The 24,921-nt window shown below is 38.1% G+C and overlaps 2 long non-coding RNA genes across 2 annotated transcripts in view, besides 1 other annotated feature; one reads left to right on the top strand and one right to left on the bottom strand.

Annotated features, from left to right (window-relative positions):
• LOC107986821 (uncharacterized) overlaps nucleotides 1-8,582 on the top strand; it is a 35,929-nt gene extending 27,347 nt beyond the window's left edge. The window contains exons 3-4 of the long non-coding RNA XR_001745275.2: nucleotides 5,146-5,237; nucleotides 8,179-8,582. This is a non-coding gene — a long non-coding RNA (uncharacterized LOC107986821). The remainder of the gene's footprint in view (nucleotides 1-5,145; nucleotides 5,238-8,178) is intronic.
• Nucleotides 1-22,218, bottom strand: part of LOC112267858 (uncharacterized) — an 84,173-nt gene extending 61,955 nt beyond the window's left edge. Inside the window, exon 1 of the long non-coding RNA XR_001745273.2 lies at nucleotides 16,561-22,218. This is a non-coding gene — a long non-coding RNA (uncharacterized LOC112267858). The remainder of the gene's footprint in view (nucleotides 1-16,560) is intronic.
• Nucleotides 8,169-11,087: an enhancer, noted in NCBI's record as "VISTA enhancer hs1626". NCBI's record gives its function as "enhancer in: branchial arch[6/6] | facial mesenchyme[6/6]" and the evidence as "EXISTENCE:transgenic organism evidence [ECO:0001131][PMID:17130149]".
• Nucleotides 22,219-24,921: the final 2,703 nt, after the last annotated feature.

Consider the following 24,921-nt stretch of genomic DNA (forward strand, 5'->3'; position numbering starts at 1 on the left):
AGCTCACTCAGCCACTTCTGCTGTAACTGCAATGAACTACTCACTATTCTCTGAATATGAATTACATGCTCTTTCTTGCCTTTGAAAATGGTGTTCTCTCTGCCTGAAGCAGTTTCTCCTCGTCCTCAACTCCTAAGCACTGGTGAAACCTGAATAGCACTTCTCAACCTTCAGGACTTAACTTGGATATAACATGTCTTCTTTGACCTCTTCAAGTCCAAGTTAGGTATTACTTCTACATCCCCTGAGAGCATGCCATAACTTCTCTACTGTAGCGCTTGATACACTCTAGTCTAACCTCTGTGGATTTATTCCATAGTTTCCTGTAGATTACACATTCCAGGAGGACAAGACTATATCTATCTTGATTATCATTGTATCCCCAAGGTCTGGCAGATGGCCTGCCAAATAGTTGGCAATGCATGCAGAATGGATCAATTGTTCAAAATTTCCAGGCATAGGATGGGGCTGGAGAAAGGACAGGTGGTAAGATTAAGATTGAATTTATAGATTAAAACTAAGCCTGAAAGACAACGTGTGCCCTGCTGTGTACATTTGTTATCCTCTCTTCCAGAAGTCATGGAAGTGTTAAACACAAGAGGGGAGCAGCAAGTCAGCAATAAGAAGGCCTGAGATAACAGCAAGGGACTAGGGACCAGAGACAAGACTGATTGCAAGAGACACAGTATTTAAGAAGTTGTAGCTCTGAGACCTGATGATTTATTACAGGGTTAGGTAACAGAGTAGGAAAGAAAGAATGACTCACAAAATTGGTAAAAATGGAAGATCTATGGGGAGTATCTTTATTTTTCTCTTACATGAGAGAAATGAGTAATGTAAACAGTAGGATGGCCCTGGGTATTCAAGACTAAAACGTGTCTGTTGTTCATTACCGTGTGTCATGATATTGGCAATTCTATAAGCTATGGGGACATTTGCACCCCCACAGGTGGAGAATTCAAAATTTGAAAGAACTGCTTCATAATTAAATTAGCAGAGAAATGGGTAGAATGCTTTTTTACAAAAATAACACAAAATAAATCATCTTTAAATTATTTAAAAACTGGATAGTAAGTGGAGGTTAAATCACTAAATCTTGACTTAGGAAAATGACAAATTATCTGCCTATTTTTCTCATTACTTCTCACCTCAGATCACCAAGAACTTTCCCAAAGTTGCAAACAAAAACAACAAAAGCCAATGTCTTTCAGGAGATGTTTATCTAAGTGAAAACATTGAGGAAACAACACTGTAATAGAGATAGGGAAAGATACACTTGATAAGTGAGAAAAAAACCTCAGAGGCTGAGAGAGGAAACAGTTTTCAGAAAACACTTTGAAGAGATGAGAGAGGACACAAGACAATAACAAAATGCTTGCATGGGGGTGGGAGATACGATTTTGGAAGAAATCAGAAAATTGAGAGTGCTGAGTGTTGAGAGAATAATTTGTAAGAAAGACTACAAAAATAGAAGGGGAAAATGGAAGCAAACTTGTGGTTAGAGAAAAAATAACAAAGCAGTCCCCCGCCCCCAAATCTCACCCTGAGCTGGAAAAGACAGAGAGGTTAAAAACAGGATTAGAATACTGTCAGTTCTTTAACTTAGTGATCTAAGTAAGCCTTAGGTTCTTCATCTATAAAGGATTGCATTAGTCAGCTCAGGCTGCCATAACAAAAAGACTGGGTGACTTTAGAAAAAAAAATTAATTTCTCACAGTTCTGGAGGCTGAAAGTTCAAGATCAAGGTCTGGCAGGATCAATTTCTTGTAAGAGCTCTCTTCCTAGCTTGCAGATGCCCACCTTCTCACTGTGTCCTCATATGATGGAGAGAGCGAGCCCTCTGTATCTCTTCCTATAGGAACACTAATCCTATTGGATCAGGGCCCTACCCTTAGGACCTCATTTAACCTAAATGACTTCCATAAAAGCCTTGCTTCCAAATACAACAACATTGGGAAGTAGGGCTTCAACATACAAATGTAGGGGAACATGATTCAGTCCATAGCAAGGTTGTTATAAGAAATCTGAGAAATTATGCAAAGTTCATTATGCCTGGCACATGGCAGGTGCTCAATAAATGCTAACTAATGTTAGCTATAAAATCATCATTGTAATAGGCATCATATCTGAGGTAACTTATGCTTTTTATTTTATATTTTTAAAGGAATGCTACAGATGGAAAAGCCACGTGTTGCCTACTACCCCCCTGAAAACTGCCCAGTTGCTCAGTTATATGGTTTGGCCATGTCTCCACCCAAATCTCATCTTGAATTACAGTTATAAAAATCTTTTTGGGTTGCTATTATTATTATTATTTTACCATTTCACAAGTAAGTAAACCAAAGAGCTTGCCCAAGATTAGGTAACTAATAAATGAAGGTTCGAATTCAAACCATGTCTGACTGCAAATACATCTCTCCTTTATGCCAGAATCATCATCATCCTTAAGTTATAGGGACATGTGAGTATGACTAGGAAAAAATGGGTCAGTAAAACACAAACACACACACACACACACACACACATTGGCACTGATTCTTAAATCAAAGTATTTATTTTCTGATGTCGTTCTTATGAGTATTTGCTTACTCAAATTTTTAAAATCATCTGAAAAATGCCTCTCAATACTGAAAAATTGCTCTACCATTCTAGTCATATGATCACATAATGGGCTTTTTTGTTTAGATTCTAGAGCAGAAGATCTGGGTTGCAATTCAGCATTGCTACTTCTGAACTATGTGATTTTGGGTAAATTGCTTATACCCCCTTAGCATCCATTCTCAAGGGAGCATTGTTGCTTATGTCACAGGGAAATTTTTAAAATTACATAAAACGCAGTCTGCAAAAGCATAGTAAGCTGCCACATTAGCACTCAGCGTCTATATTTTAAAAGTTAATGAAAACGTTGCCAACGTCTCTATTTCTGAATAAGGGCAAGCAAGAGAGACTATAAAGATTTTTACAAAGAATTCTAAAGCCTGAGAATTAGGACTCATTACCATGTAAACTCCAGACATAATCAGAGTTGTTTTCAAGCTTCATTGTTCCAATCTAGTTTATCTCTTTTCTTCCCCAGTTATTTTCATGGGTGTTTCACAAACTATGCAGACTTCAATAACTCACTCTCTAATAATATACTCTGGATAATTGTTAGCTTCATGAAATGCAATTGCCTATACTTTAAGTTATAATTAGAGGAATTACTTAAAGCCTCAAGTGGCCTTTGGAAATCTGAAAATGGAAGCTGAATTTATAAACGCTAGGAAAGAATAGGAAATCCCAGAATCCTAAATCACCAGACTCAAATACATGTGAACTCACTGAGAGACATCCTCTTGCTTTGGTTATAACAACCAGACTTATACTGACATTAACACCAATGCTACAGTTACTAAATGAGAAAACTGAGTTCACAGAGATCAGTTTTTTAATGTACAATACATTTACCGAAGAAAAGTCTTTGTGACTCAGCTGAACAAAGGAAGTGTAGTTTTTAAAACAGACTTGTTGAGGAAGGGGCAACTCTAGTCATAAAGATGGAAAATTAGCCTCTGTGGCATCTGATTCAATGACAATGGTGAATTTTGCAAATTACGTATCTAAGACTTGGTCAGTCTGGGACCATTTGCCTCCATTTCCATAATATTATTGGCTGTTGTCAGAAAATGACTTGAATAGCCATATATAGAAAGACCCATAAGTTGTTGCTATTATAGACAGTTTGAGCATTGTATCGTTTTCTTCAGAGAACTCAGTAATTTGTCTACCTTTCCATAACTTTGTCAGATGAATTCCATCGCACCAACTATTCTAAAATGAAATTAAGATCATCTCACCCCAAAGTCCTGGTCCAAGCTCTACCTTCTTGTCCGTCACTACTTAAGCTTAGTTCTCTACCCAATATATGTATATTAAGATAAACTACTTTTACTCTAACTTTTACCCTTTCTACCTACACATATCATTAAAATGTAAAATATAAGTCTCTAAATGCAGAACTAAGCCTCTCCTCCAATGAACAATAGTGCTGGTTCTTCTTTCAACTAAATTCAAATTAATACACTTTTTAAAAAATAATTTATGGCCCAAGCAGTGTATTTAGGGTCAGATACACTAAGGTGAATTAGCCAGGAACCCTATCCTCAAAGATGTCTACTAAAAGACTTAAATAATACCTCTACTTTGTGAAATGTAAATGGTCTATCAGTTCATGCTGTTCCCATTTTCCAATCAAGACTTGTATTTCTAGCTTTCCCTTATGTTATCTCTGACTACATTACTCCATAGAACATCATTGATTTGCCCACTTGTTTTGGTACTTTAAAAAATAAAATTAGAATCAGATTAATAAAGCAGAAAGTGGCCTGAGATCATTGATTTCAGACCGTGCTGCGGTCTGAGACTCTCATTTTATAGATGAAGAAAATGAAGTCTTTCAATTCTGATAACGTGGAGAATTGAGGAAACATGAACCTGTTCCTGTTCAGCCATATAGAAATACATGATAAAACAGGATGAAAAAGAGTGTTCAATACATAGTCTACCTCCAAAGAAACAAAGAGGAATCCCCAGAGCCAACAGGAGAGAGGGATTTATTCTGGCAGGAATGGTAAGCTCCAAGTAACCCTGCCACAGTTCCTAGAGGTTTGGGACCTCACAATTGGTCAGACCTCTGGCTGCCTCTGCCCTTCTCAGCCACTGTGGGCTGAGGCAATCACTATCTGCACTGGCCGTACAGGTGTGTTGCTAAGATTTCCTTCAAGAAAACTATGCTGGCAACTTAGCTGATTATTAGCTCCAGCTGTCACCTTTGGGATTCATGCTTTCCCTAGCTGTCCCTAGCCCATGCCTGAGCATAGCACAGGGTAGTAGAGCTAGCCCTTTCCTACCTGACACTGGACTCCTCCAACCAACAACCTTTGGTGGAGGAGTTCCCATGAACCTGGGGTATATCGTCTCAGAACTGTGCTGGGGTCTGAGTTTTCCAATCCAACACTCCCTTTCCTCTCTTCTTTCACAGGTGTCAAAATTGCGTTGACATCTCAAGACTCTTGCTACCACATCCTTCTTTCTTTCTCCTTCAGAAGCACTTTCCAAAATAAATTTCTTAAACATCTAATCTCATCTTTCCATCTGCTCTTCCAGAGACCCAAAGTGACACCAAGTCTGAGCACACCATTGGAGAACCTAGGAAGCTCTACCCTAAAGAACTTTCAGACATGTGCACAAGAAGACCTGTAAGCAACAATGTCCATTACAGCATGGTTTGAAATAGTAGAAAAGCAGCAACAACCTAAATTTTCAAGCATAGAGAAAGGGAAAATTTGGGGGTATATTTACTTAATGGTACGGTAGATAGATAAAAAGAATAAATAAAACCAAAAGTATCAACCTGGATGCATCTTACCAATATAATATTAAGTGAACAAAAAATGTTGCAAAAACACAGAAACAATATGACACAATTTGTTTACATTTAAAAACACATAAATAGTACTCTAGATAGTTTTTTTAATTACAAGAATTTGGGTAGCAAGAACACACATCAACTTCAAGACAGCGGTTATCTCTGGGATAGGAAGGAGAGAAAATAGGATAGGGTGGATTTTAACTTTTTCTGTAACATTTCACCCCTTTTTAAAAAGGATAACAACTGTTAAATTTCATTGGTGGATATATGAGTGTTTGTTATAGTATTTGTTGTACTTTTCTGTGTTTGAAATATTTCCAGATATTTCAAATTAAATAACATAAATATATCTTGAAAGAAAAGAAACTGAGGCCCAAAGAAATGAAATGACATGACCAATTTCACATACTTAGTTCATGGCAGAGCAGCTGGTAGGCTCCTGGACTGGCCCTCTGGCCATCATATTCTGTTGTTATATGCCTTTCTAATACACAGAACTATGGTCAATGTGTCTTCGGTAACCTTCACAGTGACTGGTACCATTGTGGGTGCAAGAAAGCACTAGATGTACTAGAGCAAATTGAACAATTAGCGTTCAACCTTTAATGCAAAATTATTTTATCACTGGAATTATACCCCAAGAGAAAAAAGTTCTTGCTGCAGTCTGACTGCTAAATGTTCAGAAATGTGTGGGCCACGCACCCAGCAGGACCTAGTTCCTGTGTTCCTAATTCCTGGCCCAGATCTTGTCCAGAAACACCAAAAACTTTGTGTTAGACATTAAGATCAGCCATCTGAAAACTGTTAAAGTGTGCCTATAGCATGTAGATGATTTCGGAGAGCTTATATTCTTCCTCTGAAGATTCACTTCTGTGAGAGTCCCACCAGCAGCTGTACTCAGGAACCACTTTGTTTAGAATCTGGAAAATTTAACTGACTCCACTCTCTACACTCCAATGGTGAGGTAGGCCCCTTCTTCTCCTGAACAGAAAATGAGGGGCATACTAACCCTCTAGTGGTCCTACAGAGACCAAATGAAGACACACAGTGCCTGCTCTCAAGAGCTACCCAATATACAATAGAATGCAAGGCCAATAACAGCCAAAATGAAGCACCCTTAAATATTTTAAACCTGAATCATGGGCTAAAACCACAAGCAGAAAAGAATGATCAGTATGTACATTTATTAGGGTCATCTTTATATATTTCTGTTGTGAAAGGCAATTATTTTTCTAACTTTAGTAAAACGTAACACATTTTTACTAATTTTGGTTACATAAGAATTTGAGGTGAATACATCCTTGAGGGTAAGCTTTGACTTTTTTATTAGTATACTTTTAAAAGCTGACAAAGGGCTTGGCACATTATTAATGTTTGTTGATTGAATGAAAGGATGAATAAATGAATATAAGCGAAATTAAGACATATTTCTTACTGACAGACACTAATGACTAAAAAAGGCTTCCAACAAATGAGCAGAGTTGACAATTAAAGTGTAAATAGGAATCTAATGAATGTTCTAATTGATCTTCCCTGCTTTAAGATGTAGCCAGAATTTTTTAACCTTGAGATACAATGCTCAGCAAATTAGGAGACTGTCCTTGTGTGACAATCTCTTTAATCAATCTAATAGTTTGTCTACTCAACTACAGACTTTAAGACCTCTGCCAAATTAGTGTTTTGTTTTGTTAGTCTTAGCAAAAGTTATGTCTTAATAATAGATTCATATATGAGGTTTAGCTTGGCACTTTGGACTTCTGTGAAAATAAAGAACATATGTTAAATTGTTTTTTAAAAAGTCTTCAAAGGTAATAAAGTTGGGAGGAAAAAGGAAACTCTCATTCTTTCTTGGTGATTCTACCTACAAGAAAACAATAAACCCTTAATATCTGAATCAGGTTTTAACAAGATTTTTTAAAAAATTGATTATTTCTCTTTAGTTGTGCAGTGGCTTCAAGATAATGAGTGTTAAGCATTCCTTCAACCCATCGAGAAGTTTGATACCATCTATACAAGGCTTGCTAAGAGATGGCAAAGCAAAAAAAAATTTTTTTGACCCAGACCAGACCACCCACCTCCAGCCTATGAAGGAGAATAAAGGCTGAAAGGGAAATTGACATTTACAAAGTGGATTTTGTGAGGGAGCTGTTAATGAGTGTTGAGTCCCACACAACTCCCATGGGGAGAAGGATTAGGTGTGTTTTCCTTCATTTCAAGCCCAGGGAATGTGGCTTCAATGGGACCATGTAGAGAGCTCAAGGTGTGCCCCAGGTACTGTCAGAGGACAAAAGAATATGGGGAAATGCTAGCTGACTAGTAATTCTGATCTGATGGAAGACAAAGAAAAGCTGACATGAAGAAAGGTTACAACAGAATTTCTTGAGGTAAAGAATATGCATAGTTATATGAATTTAACAGAAAAGAATCAACCTTGAGGTCCTCTAAATATTGCCCAAAATAACTTCCTAGAGGCACACAGTATCCCCAACACAGGAGTGTAGCACTAGGAGACTATCATGTAAGTGAGCAACTATAGGGAGGAACATCCCTGAACATCAAAAGAACTGCAGGCTAGGTACCCTAGTGATTCAGGGTTGGTGGGTGGAAAGTTTTCAAATAATGCCCCAAAGTTTGCCAGGAGAAAGTGTCAGCTTTAAACACCTGCCAAGCCCAGAGAGCACATCATCATTAGTTGAGAGACATCAACTAATTTCAGTGGTGATCAACTAATGCCTTTGCTTTTCTCTTACCTCCCCTCTCTCTCTCAGCTCCCTCCAATCCCAAAGGGGTCAGAAACTGCAATTAGCAAGCTGGAGGAGGAGGAGGAGGAGGAAGAGGCACAGAAGCAGGAGGTGGGGAGCCTGAGACAGAGATCATCCTGTCTGCCCTTCCCACTTCAGGCTACCACCTCTTGCAGACCTACGTTAAATGAAATGAGAAGCCTCAACTTTGACTACTATTAAGGTATTACATAGAAGTAGACATTTTAGGGGCCAAAATAAAACTTTCTGGGTGACTAGAAGAGCACAAAGGATCTCTCATTTTCTGAAAGTGGAGTGATCGAAAAAAGCCACTGTGCCATTCCTGGAATTCATTCAAGAACAGAAAAAAATTTGTCCTACTGAGTGGGCTAAAAGAAATAGGGGAAAGATTAAAGCTGTCATGTGATTTCATTCCAGGAGACCTGCTTGTTCACTATAATGAGGTTATTTTCCCACATCAAGAAAAAACCTCCAATAAGTTCTATTTCCTAGTCTTACTGTAGATATTCCACTCCACGAACAATGAGGGAATGGTTGCACTTAATTGTTTGATGTCCATGTAGTCCAGTGGAAGAAAATTCTGTCCAGGTTCTCCAGTCCCTACCTGCTGAAGCCCAGTCCCCAACTAACTCATTCAGGCAGGCAAAAAATACTGTAAATTCATTTTGCTGCCCTGAGTTCAGTACCAGCTGATGTTGGGTTGGGTTCACTCTTCACCCCCTGCCCATCATGATTTTTTTCTCATGCCCACTATTAACTGACCAGTTTGTGTAATGGTAACCTGCTTTCCCACAGAGACCTGGATTCTTTGGCCCGCATGCCCTACCATGAGCCAGGGTCACCTTCCTGACAGATTCATCTCTTAGACTCTCAAATGCACATCACCTGACATGAAGTTCTGTCCAGCTCTGTGCTTCCTCCACTCTGCCCCAACGACCAGATTCGACCTCTCTGTAGCAACACCAGCCCACATCAAAACTGGTCATGCCACACCCACAGGGAGGAATCCCAGCCCTTCCCAGTTATGCCTTCAGCCTCTACCTGTCCCATCACCCTTTGCTGCTGAGATCCCAGTATGCCTTGCGGTTGAACCCATAGAAAGTTGGAATGAAAAAAAGAACTAGGAGGCACTCATCTGCAACTATTTCTTGTGATGAAAAATGGTGCAACCATTAAAGGAGAAAGGAGGAAAGGAAAAATTGGGGTCTTAAAAAGTACCCTTCAGTTATCATATAAGACTAGAAAAGCAGCCACAAAGTGTTCTTAATGTTACTCAGTGGTTATCATTTCAAATCAGACTCAGACCAGGAAGATGCAAGGATAATCATGAAATATGAGGCACACCGCTGCTGAGCACCAGTTAGTTCCAAATGTGTTCATTTATTCATTTGCAGTAACAGCCTCGGAAATCAGTGGAGTGGTCTCTAGGAAGTAAAGGAATAAAATAATTTTCCAACTCTCATAGTCAGAGGGCTAATTCAAATTTCAAAAGGAACACTAACTTGCTTAAAGTACCATAAAAATAGAGAGGGGGCGGGGAGAGTGGAAATTCCATCCTGCTTTAATCACTGTCTCCTGCAAGTTTCCTTAATGATTTCCAGCTGCCTCCATTTAGGCTGTTGCTTTGACAGAACTTTCATACAAACTTGGAACATTTAACGTATCCAAATTTTTTTTTTTTACTTTGCCCTCAACTGCATTCTAACCAAAAGCAGATTTCTCTTGGATTATATAAGAATATGATGAGCTGGAAAGGGGCGGAGTGAGGCAAGGAGTCTGCCTTTGCTTTTTGCAGTCTCCACAAACCATTTCACAAGAGGCACAAAGGAAAATGTGAAAACCCAAGGAGAAGCCCACACCCTTGTAGAAAGCCAAAATATGGTTTCACTTCAACATACTACTGCATTCTGAAGAGAAACTGACTATTCAGAATTAGGCTACCACAAAATAAATACCTCCAAATTTTAATATAGGTAAAATTTTAAGAGGGGGAGAGAGAAAGAGAGTGTAGTAAGTTGGTATGGAAATATTTACAGCCAAACTTGTGCTGACCAAATAGCCTGTGACCCTAAGTCATCCATTTTTCTGCATGGGGAAAGGAGCAGAGAACAATGGAAACATGGATATACAATATCATAAAAGATTAGATATTAATACTTGAATAAGGAAGTTTATTAAAAATCATGAGCTTCAGCCTTGAAGATCCTTGAAGGTCATAATTTCCTTTCCAATAGGGTTGTATGCTCTTTAAAAGAAAAGAGTAACCATCTCTTAATAATTTTTGTCTTCTCCCACAACCCCTAGCAATAGGATCTCATATACGGAAGGTCTTCAATGAAGGCATGTTAAAGCGAATAAAGAAAAGCTTTCAGAGACTGATGTTAATAAAACAGGGGGATATGTGTAAAAAGAAAATGAAGACTGTTTGCAAGGAGATTAATTAGTAGGCTATTTTATCCTCATGATTCCTTGAATCTGTAATTTACTCAGCTATCATTAAGTTTTCCACATGAAGATAGGTCCTATATTTTTACTTGTGAGACAAAAAGAGACTTTGGTAGGTCTTCAAGTTATTCTCCTGAAAACTATCCCAGACTACTGAAGAGCTACTCTTTGAAAAAGGGTTCTATAAGTTAACCTATTCCTTCTTGTCCAACAGGTCAGTAAGGAAATACTCTATGTATATACCTCAAATCGTATATATTGCACACTGAATTTTTTCGGGGGGTAGGGTGGGTAGAGGGAAGTTCTTAAAAATATTTAAAAATGAATAATAATTTTCTATTTAAAATCCAAAAGAGGTACAGAGGAAATATAGGAAATAGTAGCTAAGTTAGTCTTTGAGTCACTTCTCATCTCTACCTTCATTCATTTTGACAAATATTTTCGAGTACCTAGGGCAGAGCAGATGTTGAAAATCCCATAGATTTTCCATATAAATCTTATTCTCCATCACTTAGGGACATTCCGAGGCTCCAGAATTTCTGCTAGAAAAGCTTTAGGCCGGGCGCGGTGGCTCATGCCTGTAATCCCAGCACTTTGGGAGGCCGAGGTGGGCGGATCACGAGGTGAAGAGATCAAGACCATCCTGGCTAACACGGTGAAACCCTATCTCTACTAAAAATACAAAAAATTAGCCAGGCGTGGTGGCACACGCCTGTAGTCCCAGCTACTGCGGCGGCTGAGGCAGGAGAATGGCACGAACCTGGGAGGCGGAGCATGCAGTGAGCCGGTATCGCACCACTGCACTCCAGCCTGGGCGACAGAGCAAGACTCTGTCTCCAAAAAAAAAAAAAAAAAAGCTTTGGGGATAATAATCTGGTTATTGGAAAGAATGCCAACCTTTGTCCTGAAGCTGCATGTGGGTGTCAAGCACTGGTTTACTTACATTGCATCTCTATCTAGGGAGCTTGGAAAGTTAAATTCTCCCAAGCCACTTGGTGCTGTTGCATTAAGGACCTATTTTTAACATAGCTTTGAGCTTTAATTCTGAATCTTTCCAAGTTCTCTATATTATCCTCAAATTCTAGTGCCACAAATTGTACACATTCTAATATGGGCAAACACAGTTAAAAATAAACCAATTCATCAGTTTTTAGTGGCTGAATTTTGCCTATTTGTAGACTCCAATAATTGTACTTGCTTTTTGAACAAATTCATTATTCTTTTGATTCCTTATGACTAATTTCAGCAGAATGTCACCACAAGCAATCAATTTATTTTCAAAAAAGTGTTATGCAAATGAAAGGAATCAATAATACAGAATGGGAGTATATCTGTATTGAGCCTTCCTTTCTTTTGCCCGCTTGTTTTATAAATTCCTACTCCTCATGTTTATTCCAGTATGCCATCTATTAACTATTTAATATATAAAATGTTATTAATAAATATTCCTGTACTGCACTATTTTTTTCTTTCATGGTCCATGGATCTTATACCTTCTTTATTAGATTATAAATTTCTTAGTTATAAAGACAGTGCCTAGTCCATTTTTGCATCCTGCTGGCCAGCATCTGGCCCACTGAAAACATCAAAAATGGTTTGTTGAGTGAATGAGAGAATGCACTGAACCTTGAACCCTAGAAAAAAAGTATAAAATAAATCTTCAAAACTTTTATAAATGAATTCAAAAGCTGTTTCAGATAAACTATTAGCAAGTCCTCAAATCTAACACTTCTAGAAGGCCCACTAGGGAGGGTCAACATAACCTGGTAAGGGTGTAAACACAGCTATTGTTCTCTCCCGGATATGCTTACTTTTGATTTATTGCACATGTCCACCTGCAAGGCTTCTCCAAGCACACAGAGTCATAATATACAAAGTCACCTAGTGACAAGTGAGTCTCTCAGCTCCATTGCTCACTTGGATCAGCAGCTCTCATTTATCTCTCAGGCAGCTCAGAACTGCTCCCAGCCTCAAGGCCCACAAACTCAGACTTTGTCAAATCAAATGGGCAATAATTTACCATATAAGTATCTTTTATAGAATAGTGAGTTATTTCTCTTCTTTGTCATCTTTTTTCCTCACAAAATAAAACACTGGAATTATAATTCCACATGTAGATTTATAGTTAGTTTTTCTTCTTAAGAAGGTGTGTCCATTATTATTTCATTGATCACAAGCAAGATGAGGTAGGGAGTTTAAAGGATTTAAATAAATATATCAACACTTGCCCTCAAAAGACTCAAAGTACATGGAATAGTTGCATATGGTGATAAGCTGAAGATTCCAGAAGAAAGGAGGGAAATCAGGTAAAAACCAATCTTGAAATTGAAGTAGAAATGTAAAATCGGAAGGAAAACAGAATAATCCACAAGGAAAACCATGCTCCCTGAAGAGTTAAAATGCTAAATCCTGAGATGCTAAATTCTACTCAGGCTTTAAATCAAATCAAGCTACCTTGTACACCCATAATTTATCTCTGTGGTGAAGTTTGTTCTTATTTTCAAGCAAAATAATGCATAGGTAAGACTTGACTATGTACAGAGAATGCCATAAATGAAAGGCAGGCTGAGCTATGTGAGTCTCCAGTGGAAAAGGGTGAGTTATGGTCGTGGTTATTCTACATGAAGAACACTGTTTAATAACACAGGGTTCCTGGATAAGGCATGCCTTGCAATTAATATTCTCATCAACACAGAATGGCTGTTCCCTTTCATCCTTTCTTAGCAGTCTCTGCAAAGGAAGCATTTCAAAACTCTATTTACCTACTGATACAGAGTATGCACTGCCACCCATACAAGGCGGAAAGCAGAAGCAGCTACTGATTTTGAGGTTTCACGTGATGATTTTTCTCCATTACACAATAATACTACCTAACTAATTCTACGTATTTGGGAGCAAACTTTATTTGGTGAAACACTCAATTAGGAATTAAAATTTGTGTTCAATTCTTGGCTCAATCTCTTATTACACATATATATGATTTGGAGTAAAATACTTACCTAAGATCTCTTGAATTTTTTTCAACAATAAAATGGGTGTTAGTGATACTTGCCTTAATCGCCTCCCTATATAATTGAAACAATCAAATGAGATGATGTAGTTAATGTGCTTTGTAAATTGCATAGTGTTATGCAAATATAAGATACTAATTAAACACATTCAATAACAAAAATGCCTTTCATAGGAATTTCCCTCTCATCCTATGAGATGAAAAATTGCTTTAAATCTTTCCTATAAAAAGAGAGCATAAATAAATGACTATAATGATGCAGAAAGATCTTTCTTGTGACTACAAACCATCTGTACCTACCAAAAACAGCTACTAAAACTACAGAAATAAGGACATTCTTCCAGGTAGTTCTCTTCTCTTGTTTCATTGAGCTTTGGGGAAATATTTTTTAAGTTCTAGTCTATTCCTTTTAACTGGTTTCTGATGCACATATGAAGGATAACTCTCTAGATGCTTACTCTTTCCAGAAAGTATTTACTTAGAGAAAATTAGAATTTAATTTATACTGGATGATCAATATAGACCTTTATGCATGCAATACATCTAATACACCGCAACCAGATTAATTTCCCTAGTCAGTGATTAATTGCCTACTCTGTCCCTGGCTCTGGAGAAGGTGCCTGGAATACAACAAAGAGCATAATGGGCAGGGTCTCTGCCCTTCAAAATATCACATCCATAGTCTTGTTTCAGAGCTCATCTTTCTCAACCTCTGTGATATTTGATTTTGTTGCCACTTTGCCTTCTTGAAACTTTTTCTCTCTTGATTTTGAAGATATTATTCTTGCCTAATATAGCAGACACCACTGGCAAAGTGCTCCAACCTGCATTTCCAACCCCTTCTCCTTCGTTACCTTCCAGCTTTCAGTGTGACATGGTTTTGACCAATTAGATGTAAAGTGAAATCTACGCTAATGTTTCCACAAATATATAGGCATCACTGCTTCCACTTCCTCATTCTTTCTGCTAAAACGTAGACATAATTACCAGAGCTGTAGCTGACAACCTGCATCCAGGTCAAGAAAATGGCAAAACTTGGGGCTGATGGTGGTAATCTAAGCACTCGTCGTAACTATCCATGTTCAGACTTCTTGCTTTGTGAAAGAACTAAACAAACAAGAAACTCCTTTTGTTTAAGCCACTACGTTCAGGTTTTCTATTACTTGCAGCCAAATACGTTTCTAATTGACACACCCTGTTTCTCTTTTACTTATCTGTCCAATACTTATTTCCTCCAGAAACGTCACATTTTTTTTCTGTCTATTCTTTGGAGGTCAATTTTCAGCACCTTCTATGTATTCTTCCTGGGAAATCTCAATTCACCCATTCTACTTGTTCTTTCATTAAGTTATTCAACAAATAGAGATTAAAAGACTGCCACATGCCTGGCACTGCTCTGAGCACTAGGGATAGAACAGTGAACAGTAAAGCTTCCACCTTCATGGAAATTACAGTCTAGGAGTAAAATACAACCACCTAATTCTAATTCATTCTCAGTCACAGATTAAGTCTCTGCAGAGACCTCCCCAAACTTCCCAGTCTAAATTAGCATATCCTGCTAGATATTTTCATAGCATCCTGTGATTTTCCTTTCCATAGCATATATTTTTAGTTACATACTTCACTGTGTATTTATTTTACATCTTTCTCCTCCAGTAGAAAGTAAAGTGGTAATTAAGTCTTTTTATAACTATCCTATATCCAGTGTTTCACAGATTATCTAGCACATATTACGTGCTCAGTAAATACATGTTGATATTTGATGACTTCTCTAGACTTACATTTCAAATTACCTTCTGGGCATCTCCACATGAATATTCTGCAAGAGCTTTGAAACAAAAGACCCAAAATAGATTATATTTATATTTGCACTGAATTTTTTTTTTTTTGAGATGGAGTCTCGCTCTGTCACCCAGGCTGGAGTGCAGTGGTGCAATCTCAGCTCACTGCAACCTCCACCTCCTGGGTTCAAGCAATTGTCTGCCTCAACCTTCCAAGTAGCTGGGATTACAGGTGCCCGCCACCATGTCCGTCTTTCTTTTTTTATTTTTAGTAGAGACAGGGTTTCACCATCTTGGCCAGGATGGTCTTGAACTCCTGACCTCGTGATCCACCTGACTCGGCCTCCCAAAGTGCTGGTATTACAGGCATGAGCTACCATACCTGGCCTGCACTGAATTTTTATTCCCAGTTAATGGCATCACCAAAAACCAAAGTCAGAAACTTCAAAATCATCCCTACCATTGACTCCTCCACTCCCTCTCATCTCCAACTGGTACCTAAGAGCTCTATTTCTATCAATCTGATATTTCTTCACTCTCCCCTTCATTCCCATTAGTACTGTCCATACTTCTTTACTGCAGATCCTCATTTTGCCTGCATTACTACAGTATTACTATTACAGTAGGCTGCTCATTCGTCTTCCTGTGTACTTGAATCCCCTCCTTACTAATGCTCCTCAACTAACCAGGTATTATACCCATTTCGCAGATTGGAAAAACTAGCCTTTAAGAATTTAAGTAACTTTTTCCAGGTCACCCAATTAGTAAGTAGCAAAGCTGGAGTTTATACTGGCCTATATCCCTAATCAAGAGGCCTGGGAGAGACCTTCCAGACCTCAGCATGACAAAAACCCCCAATCCAGATGCCCTAAATTGTAAAGGTATGTTACACATGCATCACCCTCAGAAGTCTGCATATTTCCTGGGAAGAGATAAAAGGTCTTCTGCATTTCATCTCCCTCCACCTCCCACCTCTTGCCCAGCATGGCATTCTGCTCCATTATAAGCTATCAAAGGATTTTTCAGACAAGAAGGGGAGAAAGGAGAAAGAAAGATTAAAAAAAATGATTTATCCAAGGTAAAGAAATAAAGGAGGATCAAAGGTGATAAGACCTGAGGGAGAAAGAGATAGGAAGATAAAACATAACTCACTTTGTTTAGACTCTGGTTCAGAAGTTATGCCTTTGCAAAAACTGTTGGCTGGAATTTTGGCTGATGTTTTACTTAGTTCAGCACAAGGAAAATTTCAACTTGGCCTTCTCCTTGAGGAACATTTATGAAGAAATAAGAGTTATATGAAGATGTGAATGAGGAGTCAACTCACATATACCCTTACTTAAAGTGAAAGTTAGCAGCTAAGTGCCACCAAGTAAATCACCTGTCTTCTAAAAGCTCTGCCCTCTCCCCTTCAAAACAATTAGAGTCTAAAAACCCACATTGATTTCTCACTTTTTTTTTTTTTTTTTTTTTTTTACCATTTTATGCTCTAAGAGTAATTTGGGACTGTATCTGGGACTGTGGTATCTCCTCTATAGCAACTAAAAGGCTTTCAATCTGATAATTAACCTACCATGCCATTTCACCCAAATAATCTTCTGGAAATTTACCAATGTACTTCCAAATCTTTCATAGGCTGGCTTTGCCTCAGCACCACTAAATCACTCAGGATCATGTTTCTCACAGGCGGCGGCTGAAATAAAATATGCATACTATGTAATTGGAAAAAGATTCTGTCTCATTTTCCCCGGCTGTTCTTCCTTGTTGGCAATGCAGAGGGAAAGAAGGCAGCAAGAATGTCTTCCTGCTGACAACTTAGAAGACAAGCCATCATCACAGAGCCACATCAGCAGGGGCGGGCCTGAGTTCTCTGAAAGCATCTGATGGGGCCCTTCGCCCTGGGGACCCTCATCACACAGTCCGTTGATACTGAATGAGAGTTTCAATAAAGCAATATGGCGTGCAATTCCAAAACACATCCTAAGTGCCCTCTACTCATTGGCTCTTTTGCCTTGCTCTTTTTCAGCTTTTCCAAAAACAAAATGTTTACCTCCAGCCAAAGTGCCACATGTGCAGGGAAGGAACACATTCTGTGTTTACTTTTTATGGGTTTCCATAATCCTTGTAATAAAACATATTAAAATGAGAACCTTCTTCATTAGTCTGGGGTTTATACAGGAGATTATTTAAAATTTTATAAATTTACAATCACTTTTATTTTCAGTTCTCTATTATTCAGAATTTAATTGTTCATGAAATAATAATAGCTAGGACTTATTGTGCTCTCCATGTTCCAGGCACTGTTCTAAGTGTCTCATGTACATTAATTTTGTCCTCAAAACAATCCTATGAGGCGGGTGCTATTATTATCACTCCTATCTTTACAGACAAGGTAGTTGAAGCACAATGGGGTTAAATAATCTGCTGAGGTCATCAGCTAGTAAATACTACCAGTACCATATATGTGTTCACTGCTTCTTTCTTATTCCTTCTATGTTCCCTTTAGGGCCATTTTATCCATGTATTCTTTAGAGAATTCTTACCTTTAGAGAATGTTATCAATATATAGTAGAGATGCAATGCCAGGAGGCACACCCCAAAATTATGGAACCAAGGGAAATGAAGCAGGTTCAGAGAATCCTTCAGAGCATGTGCTAGAAGCAGTCAGTGCTCCCTGAATACCTGCTCTTCCCTTAATTTGCTAGCTTTCCTTGAAGTTGGATGAACCCATGTCACTAGTTCTGAGCAATGGTCTTCAAGCAGAAGTAAAGCCAAGTGAAAAAATGTACCTGGAAGACAGAGTGTTCAACGATATCAGATGCCACAGATAGATCAAATAAGGTGAGAATTGAGAATTGATTATGGGGTTTGGTAAAATGGAGGTCATCATCGACTTTGAAAAGAATAGTTTTTCTATAGAAATTCATTACGAGCATCACTGAATCAGACTATAAGGAACTACTTCACTAGTGAGTATAGAACTTAGGTCTATACAAGTTAGTCAATTATTGACATGGAGTTAGAGAGCCTAGATCCTTCCCCACTCAAACCTATGCTGTTCTCTCACCTAACCCACCAGAAGCCTGGTTTGCTTTCCTTGTTCCATTACACATCCATATACATATAGGTCACATTGTCAAAATTTTAATTATCGGCCCAAATTCTTTACTCTCCTCTAGTAGTGCTACACATCTGTACCCTTGCCATGGTCTTATGGATGTGTAATGTACTACTGAGCCCCTTAACTATGTGGTTGGTCATATTATTTACATTGGTCAATTGGACATTAGCAAAAACAACCTAGGTGGAAAAACTGAAATTTGCTTGAGCAATTGCACTTTCCCTCTGCAAGTCTACATAGCCCTGAGTCAGTCCACATACCCAGGATAGTTCACTGGTCCCATAGAGACACCCAAAGCTAACCACAGCCTGGAACGAAGTCTAGTCTACATGAGCCAAACTTCAGTCAACCTGCAGAAGCACAAGCGAGAAAGAAATGACTTTTTTGTTAGAAGCCACTGAATTTTGCAGCGGCTGGTATATAGCATTATTGTGAATATAGCTGATTAAGACACAAGTTGTGGTAGAAATATTTCAAATGTCCTTTAAAAATAAGTAACATAGTTCTTCCTGAACTCTTCTTTAATTACAAACTTCAGATTGATCCCAAAATGCCATGAAGCCACTCCACCCAATACCCACACCACAGTAAAGTTGGTCACTCTCCTCTTAAGAATTCAGTCTTTAAGGACTGGAAGGGACCTGAGTAATCATGCCCAGCCACCTCTTTTTACCTCTGAGAACACCCAGGAGGTGAAATGACATGTCAAATATCACATTACTAATCACTGAGAACAGTGATTGGAAACTAGATTTCTCACGGTGTTTTCAGGCCTATTTGTACTGTGTCACACTGCTTGTCTTAATTCCAAATTGAGGACTCTCAGGTTGAAGCTACAGTCAGAAACAAGAGATCTAGAATTAACATTATAAACACTCATTCTCTTGTCATCTACTGTAACATCTTTCTCTTTGTTTAAGCCCCTTTCTCTCCAGTGCCTGAACTACCACCACTAACACACATACACACACACACAGAGTTTTGGATTTGGTCTTTAGTCTTTGCTTTGATTATGATTATGCATCCTTCAAAAATCTCTGTTCCATCAATAATTAGCATATATGTTTAAAATATTTCGCTGGAATCATAGATGACACAAACTACTGGAAAAGCATTCCATGCTCATGGATTGGAAGAATCAATATCACTAAAATGGCCATACTGCCCAAAACAATCTATAGATTCAATGCTAAACCTATCAAACTACCCATGTCATTTTTCTCAGAATTAGAAAAAACTATTCTAAAATTCACAAGGAACCAAAAAAGAGCCCAAATGCCAAAACAATCCTAAACAAAAAGAACAAAGCTAAAGGCATCATATTACCTGACTACAAACTATAATACAGGGCTGCAGAAACAAAACAGCATAGTACTGGTACAAAACAGACACATGGACCAATTAAACAGAATAGAGAGCCTGGAAATAAAGCTGCACATCTACCACCATCTGATCTTTGACAATGTCAACAAAAATAAGCAATGGAGGCGCCAGGCATGGTTGCTCACACCTGTAATTCCAGCACTTTGGGAGGCCAATGCAAGAGGATCACTTGAGCCCAGAGTTTGAGACCAGCCTGAGCAACATGGCAAGACCCTGTCTCTACTAAAAATAATAACAAGCAATGGGGAAAGGACTCCCTATTCAATAAATGATACTGGGATAACTTGCTATCCATATGCAGAAGAATGAAATTGAACCCCTACTTTTCACCATATACAAAAATTAACTCAAGATAGATTAAAGATGTAAATGTAAGACTTCAAACTATAAGAATCCTAGAAGAAAACATCAGAAATGCCATTCTAAACTCAGCCTTAGGAAATAATTTATGACTAACTCGTCAAAAGCAATTGCAACAAAAACAAAAATTGATGTGTGAGACCTAGTATTAAACTAAAGAGTTTCTGCACAGTGAAAGAAACTATCAACAGAGTAAACTGACAACATAGAGAATGGAAGAAAATATTCTGAAATGATGCATCTGACAAAAGTCTAACTTCCAGCATCTATAAAAACTTAAACAATTCAACAAGCAAAAAACGAATAATCCCATTAAAAAGTGGGCAAAAAACATGAACAGGCACGTCTCAAAAGAAGACATACAAGCAGCCAACAAACATTTGAAAAAATACTCAACATCACTAATCATCAGAGGAATGCAAATCAAAACCGCAATAAGATACCACCTTACACCAGCCAACATGGCTATTATTAAAAAGTCAACAACAACAACAAGAAAAACAGATGCTGGTGAAGGTGCAGGGAAAAGGGAACTCTTATACTGTTCGTGGGAATGTAAATTAGTTCAGCTGCCTTGGAAAGTAGTTTGGAGATTTCTCAAAGAATTTAAAACAGAACTACCAATTTACCCAACAATCAATCGCATTACAGGGTATACATATCCAAAATAAAATACATCCTTCTACCAAAAAGACACATACACTCTTATGTTTGTCACAATGCTATCTACAATGGCAAAGATAAGATCAATCTAGGTGCCTATCAACAGTGGATTAGATAAAGAAAATGTAGCACATATACACCATAGAATATTATATAATCATAAAAATGAATTAAATTATGTCCTATGGAGCAACATGAGGTAGAGCTGGAGGCCATTACCCTAAGTGAATTAACACAGAAACAGAAAACCAAATACCTCATTTTCTCACTTATACACAGGATCTAAACATCGAGAAAACATGGACATAAAGATGGCAACAACAGACACTGAGGACCACTAGAAGGGGAAGTGGAGGTGAGAGGTGAAAAATTTACTGTTGGGTACTATGCTCACTACCTGGATGGCAGGATCATTTGTATCCCAAATCTCAGAATCACACAATATACCCATGCAACTAACCTGCATGTGTATCCCCAGAATCTAAAATAAAACAATTACCAAATAAAATAAAATAAATTTTTTGGAAGATATTATAAAAAGTGGTATGCCCAATAGAAGCATAGTTATTGAGCTAAAAACTTCATTTTATAGACAAGGCAATTGAGCCCTAAAAAAGTAACATGACTTGCCCAAGGTCATGCAACTACATAGCAAAAAAGAAGGAACTGGATCCCAGGATTCTTTACTCTTCTGTGCCTCCCAAACCCTCCCTTTTATAACTAGCCTTATATGTATATTTGTGCCTTGGTGATTATTAACCTCATTACCTCATTCCTTCAGAAGAAACTAATTTTAGATTATTTTTTCTATATATTTCTTCTAACTATTTCTCTTTCTAGAATGAAGACAATTTTTATATTAGAATCTAATCCAAATATTCTTGAAGGATTTCAAAAGTCAATATGACATTAACGCTTTCAAAAAGACAATCTCTCATGATGATAGTGAGGATAGCAGTCTTTAAACTGCTGTGCTTTCAAACAAAAAGCTATTTTGCATACTTAAAAAGCATCTTTCATTTTCTTATCTGTAGGGCTCAATACTTTCAAAAACAACTCATTAATTCTTTCTTACTTCTTGTATTCTTAGAAAAGAAGCAAAACTTAAACACTCAAAAGTTAAGTCATTTGCCAAAGGCTGTATAGGAAGTCACCAACTAAGTACATTGCCTCTGAAAGGTTTCGGTATGAAATTCCACATATAGTGCCACTAATGATAACTCCTGTTCCAGGCACAGTGGCTCATACCTGTAATCCCAGCATTTGGGGAGCCCAAGGAGGGAAGATCACTTGAGGCCAGGAGTTTGAGACCAGCCTGGGCAACATAGTGAGACCCTGTCTCTACCAAAAGCTTTTTTAAAAATTAGCCAGATGTGGTAGTACATTCCTGTTGTCCCAGCTACTCAGGAGGCAGACATGGAAGGATTGCTTGAGCCCAGGAGGTGAGCCATGATTGTGCCACTGCACTACAGCCTGGGTGACAGAGCAAGACTCTATTTCTCAAAATAATTCCCACAAAACTAGCATTCATTGAAGTTATACTGTGCTCTATGCACCATGATATGACTTTTGTATGCATTAATTTATTCCATGATGATGGAAATGTTAGTATGTAACATTATTGTCCTCATTTTAGAGATGAGTATGATGAATTTTAGAGATATTAAGTAACGTTTCCAAGGTGACACACCAGAATGAACACACCCAATTTCTGGCAAAGATGTCATGTCTGTCTTACAAAGTATTACCAAATCAGAGTAGGGAAAAGATCTTGCTTGACTCCAGCACCGAAATAGTGAACAAAATGGGTTCTGAGGTTTTCATGGTGGATTGCTGTAGGTACATTTATTTATTTTTCTGGGGCACAGTGAAATCTATTTTTTTAATGTTATTTGAGCTACTTCATGAAAGTAAATTAGAAATTAGCCTTTAATGTTAGAAGTCAGGATGGTGGTTTCCAGTAGAAAGGAAGGAGTGGTGATGACCTGAAGGGGAGCCCAAGGGTGATTTTTAGTGCTGATTGTTTATATCTTGTTGTAAGGTATCATAATACAGTTGTGCTTATTTTGTGAAAATTTGTTGTTCTGGACACTTATGATTCATACAGTTTTCTTTGTGTATGTCACATATCATTAAAGATCATATTAAAATTAATCTTTGAAAATGTCTAAAAACATATTTGAAATAGATATACTAAATACCTCTAAAAAAACCTGATTACATTTACCAGCTGTGAAACAGGTGAGGTAATGTAACAGAGCCTATCTTATAGATTTTGAAGATGATAGGTCTTTTTCATTTCCATCCCAATTCAGGATTTCTAAGCCTCAACATCCTTGCCTATAAAAATAAAGGTACTGGCCGGGTGCGGTGGCTCACCTGTAATCCCAGCACTTTGAGAGGCTGAGGCAGGCGGATCACTTGAGATCAGGAGTTTGAGACCAGCCTGGCCAACATGGCGAAACTCCATCTCTACTAAAAATAAAAAAATAAGCCAGTGATGGTGGTGTGCACCTGTAATCCCAGCTACGCAGGTGGCTGAGGCAGGAGAATTGCTTGAGACCAGGAGGCAGAGGTTGCAGTGAGCTGAGATTGTTCCACTGCACTCCAGCCTGGACAATACAGTGAGACTGTCTCAAAAATAAATAAATAAATATTTTTTTAATGAAGATACTGAGATCAATGAGATCTATTATAGTATTAGCTGTATCTTTGTTACTTCATCCTCCAATGAAGGTTTCTGTTTGCCTTGTATGTTAGTGCAAAAAACAGATAATAAGATGGAATTAAATGTGCAATCAATTTATTGGGGGAAACATCAGAGGAGGCTTGGAGAGATGCCCCACTGCAATGCAAGTGTGAACTTTGTGAAGGTGAGAGGGCAGAGTTCATGGAAACAGATTATGCTTCTAAAGAACCAGGTTTGGGGAGAATTAGATTGTTAAAAAGAATTCAATTTTGATATAATGAGCCTGAGGTATTTTTCAGACATCAGTTTTGCACTGTCATAGAGAAATATAGGTCTGGGGTGAGCTAACGTTGGACATTTGTGAGTCATCTGCATATAGGCAGTAATGGAAGCCAGAGACATGAAGAGAAAGCATAAGATCATGATACTGAAGGAAAAAACAGCCTCAAGCACTGAGGAATTCTGGTATTTAATGTCAAAAGAAAGAAGGAGAAGCCCACAAAGATAAGTCAATGAAGAGGTAGGAACAGAAAAGGATTGTGTTCAGGAAGTCAAGAAGAGTAAGAAATGATCCACGATGACAAATGCCGCAGGAAGGTCAAGTAAGAGGAGGCCTGGAAATGCCCATTGGATTTAGAGAGGCAGAGGCTATGGTTGATCTAGCAAGAATAATTATACTTCAGTGATGCGTACAAGCCAATTCCCCTATAAAATGGTGGGGATGGGGGTGGTGCAGGATGGGGGTGGGGCAGGAAGGGAGACAGAGGTGGAGATGGCGTACAAATCTAAAGTGCAACTGAATATGTTAGTGTTGGGAGGATGCAAACAGCTCTTCTATTAAACAAGAGGAAAGGAGAATAAATTAGATACAGATGTAGGCAGTTACGTATATTTGGAAAAGGGAAGATGAGATATCCCAATCTTATATAACAGTTGCTATTTTCTCTTGAAAATAACATCTCTGAGAGCAATGAAAAAAGTAGAAAAGTTGGAGGACTATGAAGAACAGAGAGTTTGAAAAAGTCTTTTCAGAAAATGGGAGTGGGAGTTGAACAAAAGATGCAGCAATGTGAAAGATCCATTTACTGTTGTTGACTGTACACTTAGAGTAGATCCAATGTCACCTTGCACTGTTGGATGCAACCACAGGAAGTGCAGATCACTGGGTTAATCTGGTACTGACCTTATTTCTCCAATGAAACCTAAAGAGACATGTGACATGTTTCATTGAAGACAATGAAAAGCCATAGGAGAATGCATTAATGATACTGGACATGGTGTTCCTGAAATAATAGTGTGT

This window comes from Homo sapiens, chromosome 7 (genome assembly GCF_000001405.40).
Source record: "Homo sapiens chromosome 7, GRCh38.p14 Primary Assembly".
Classification (NCBI taxonomy): Eukaryota; Metazoa; Chordata; class Mammalia; order Primates; family Hominidae; genus Homo; species Homo sapiens.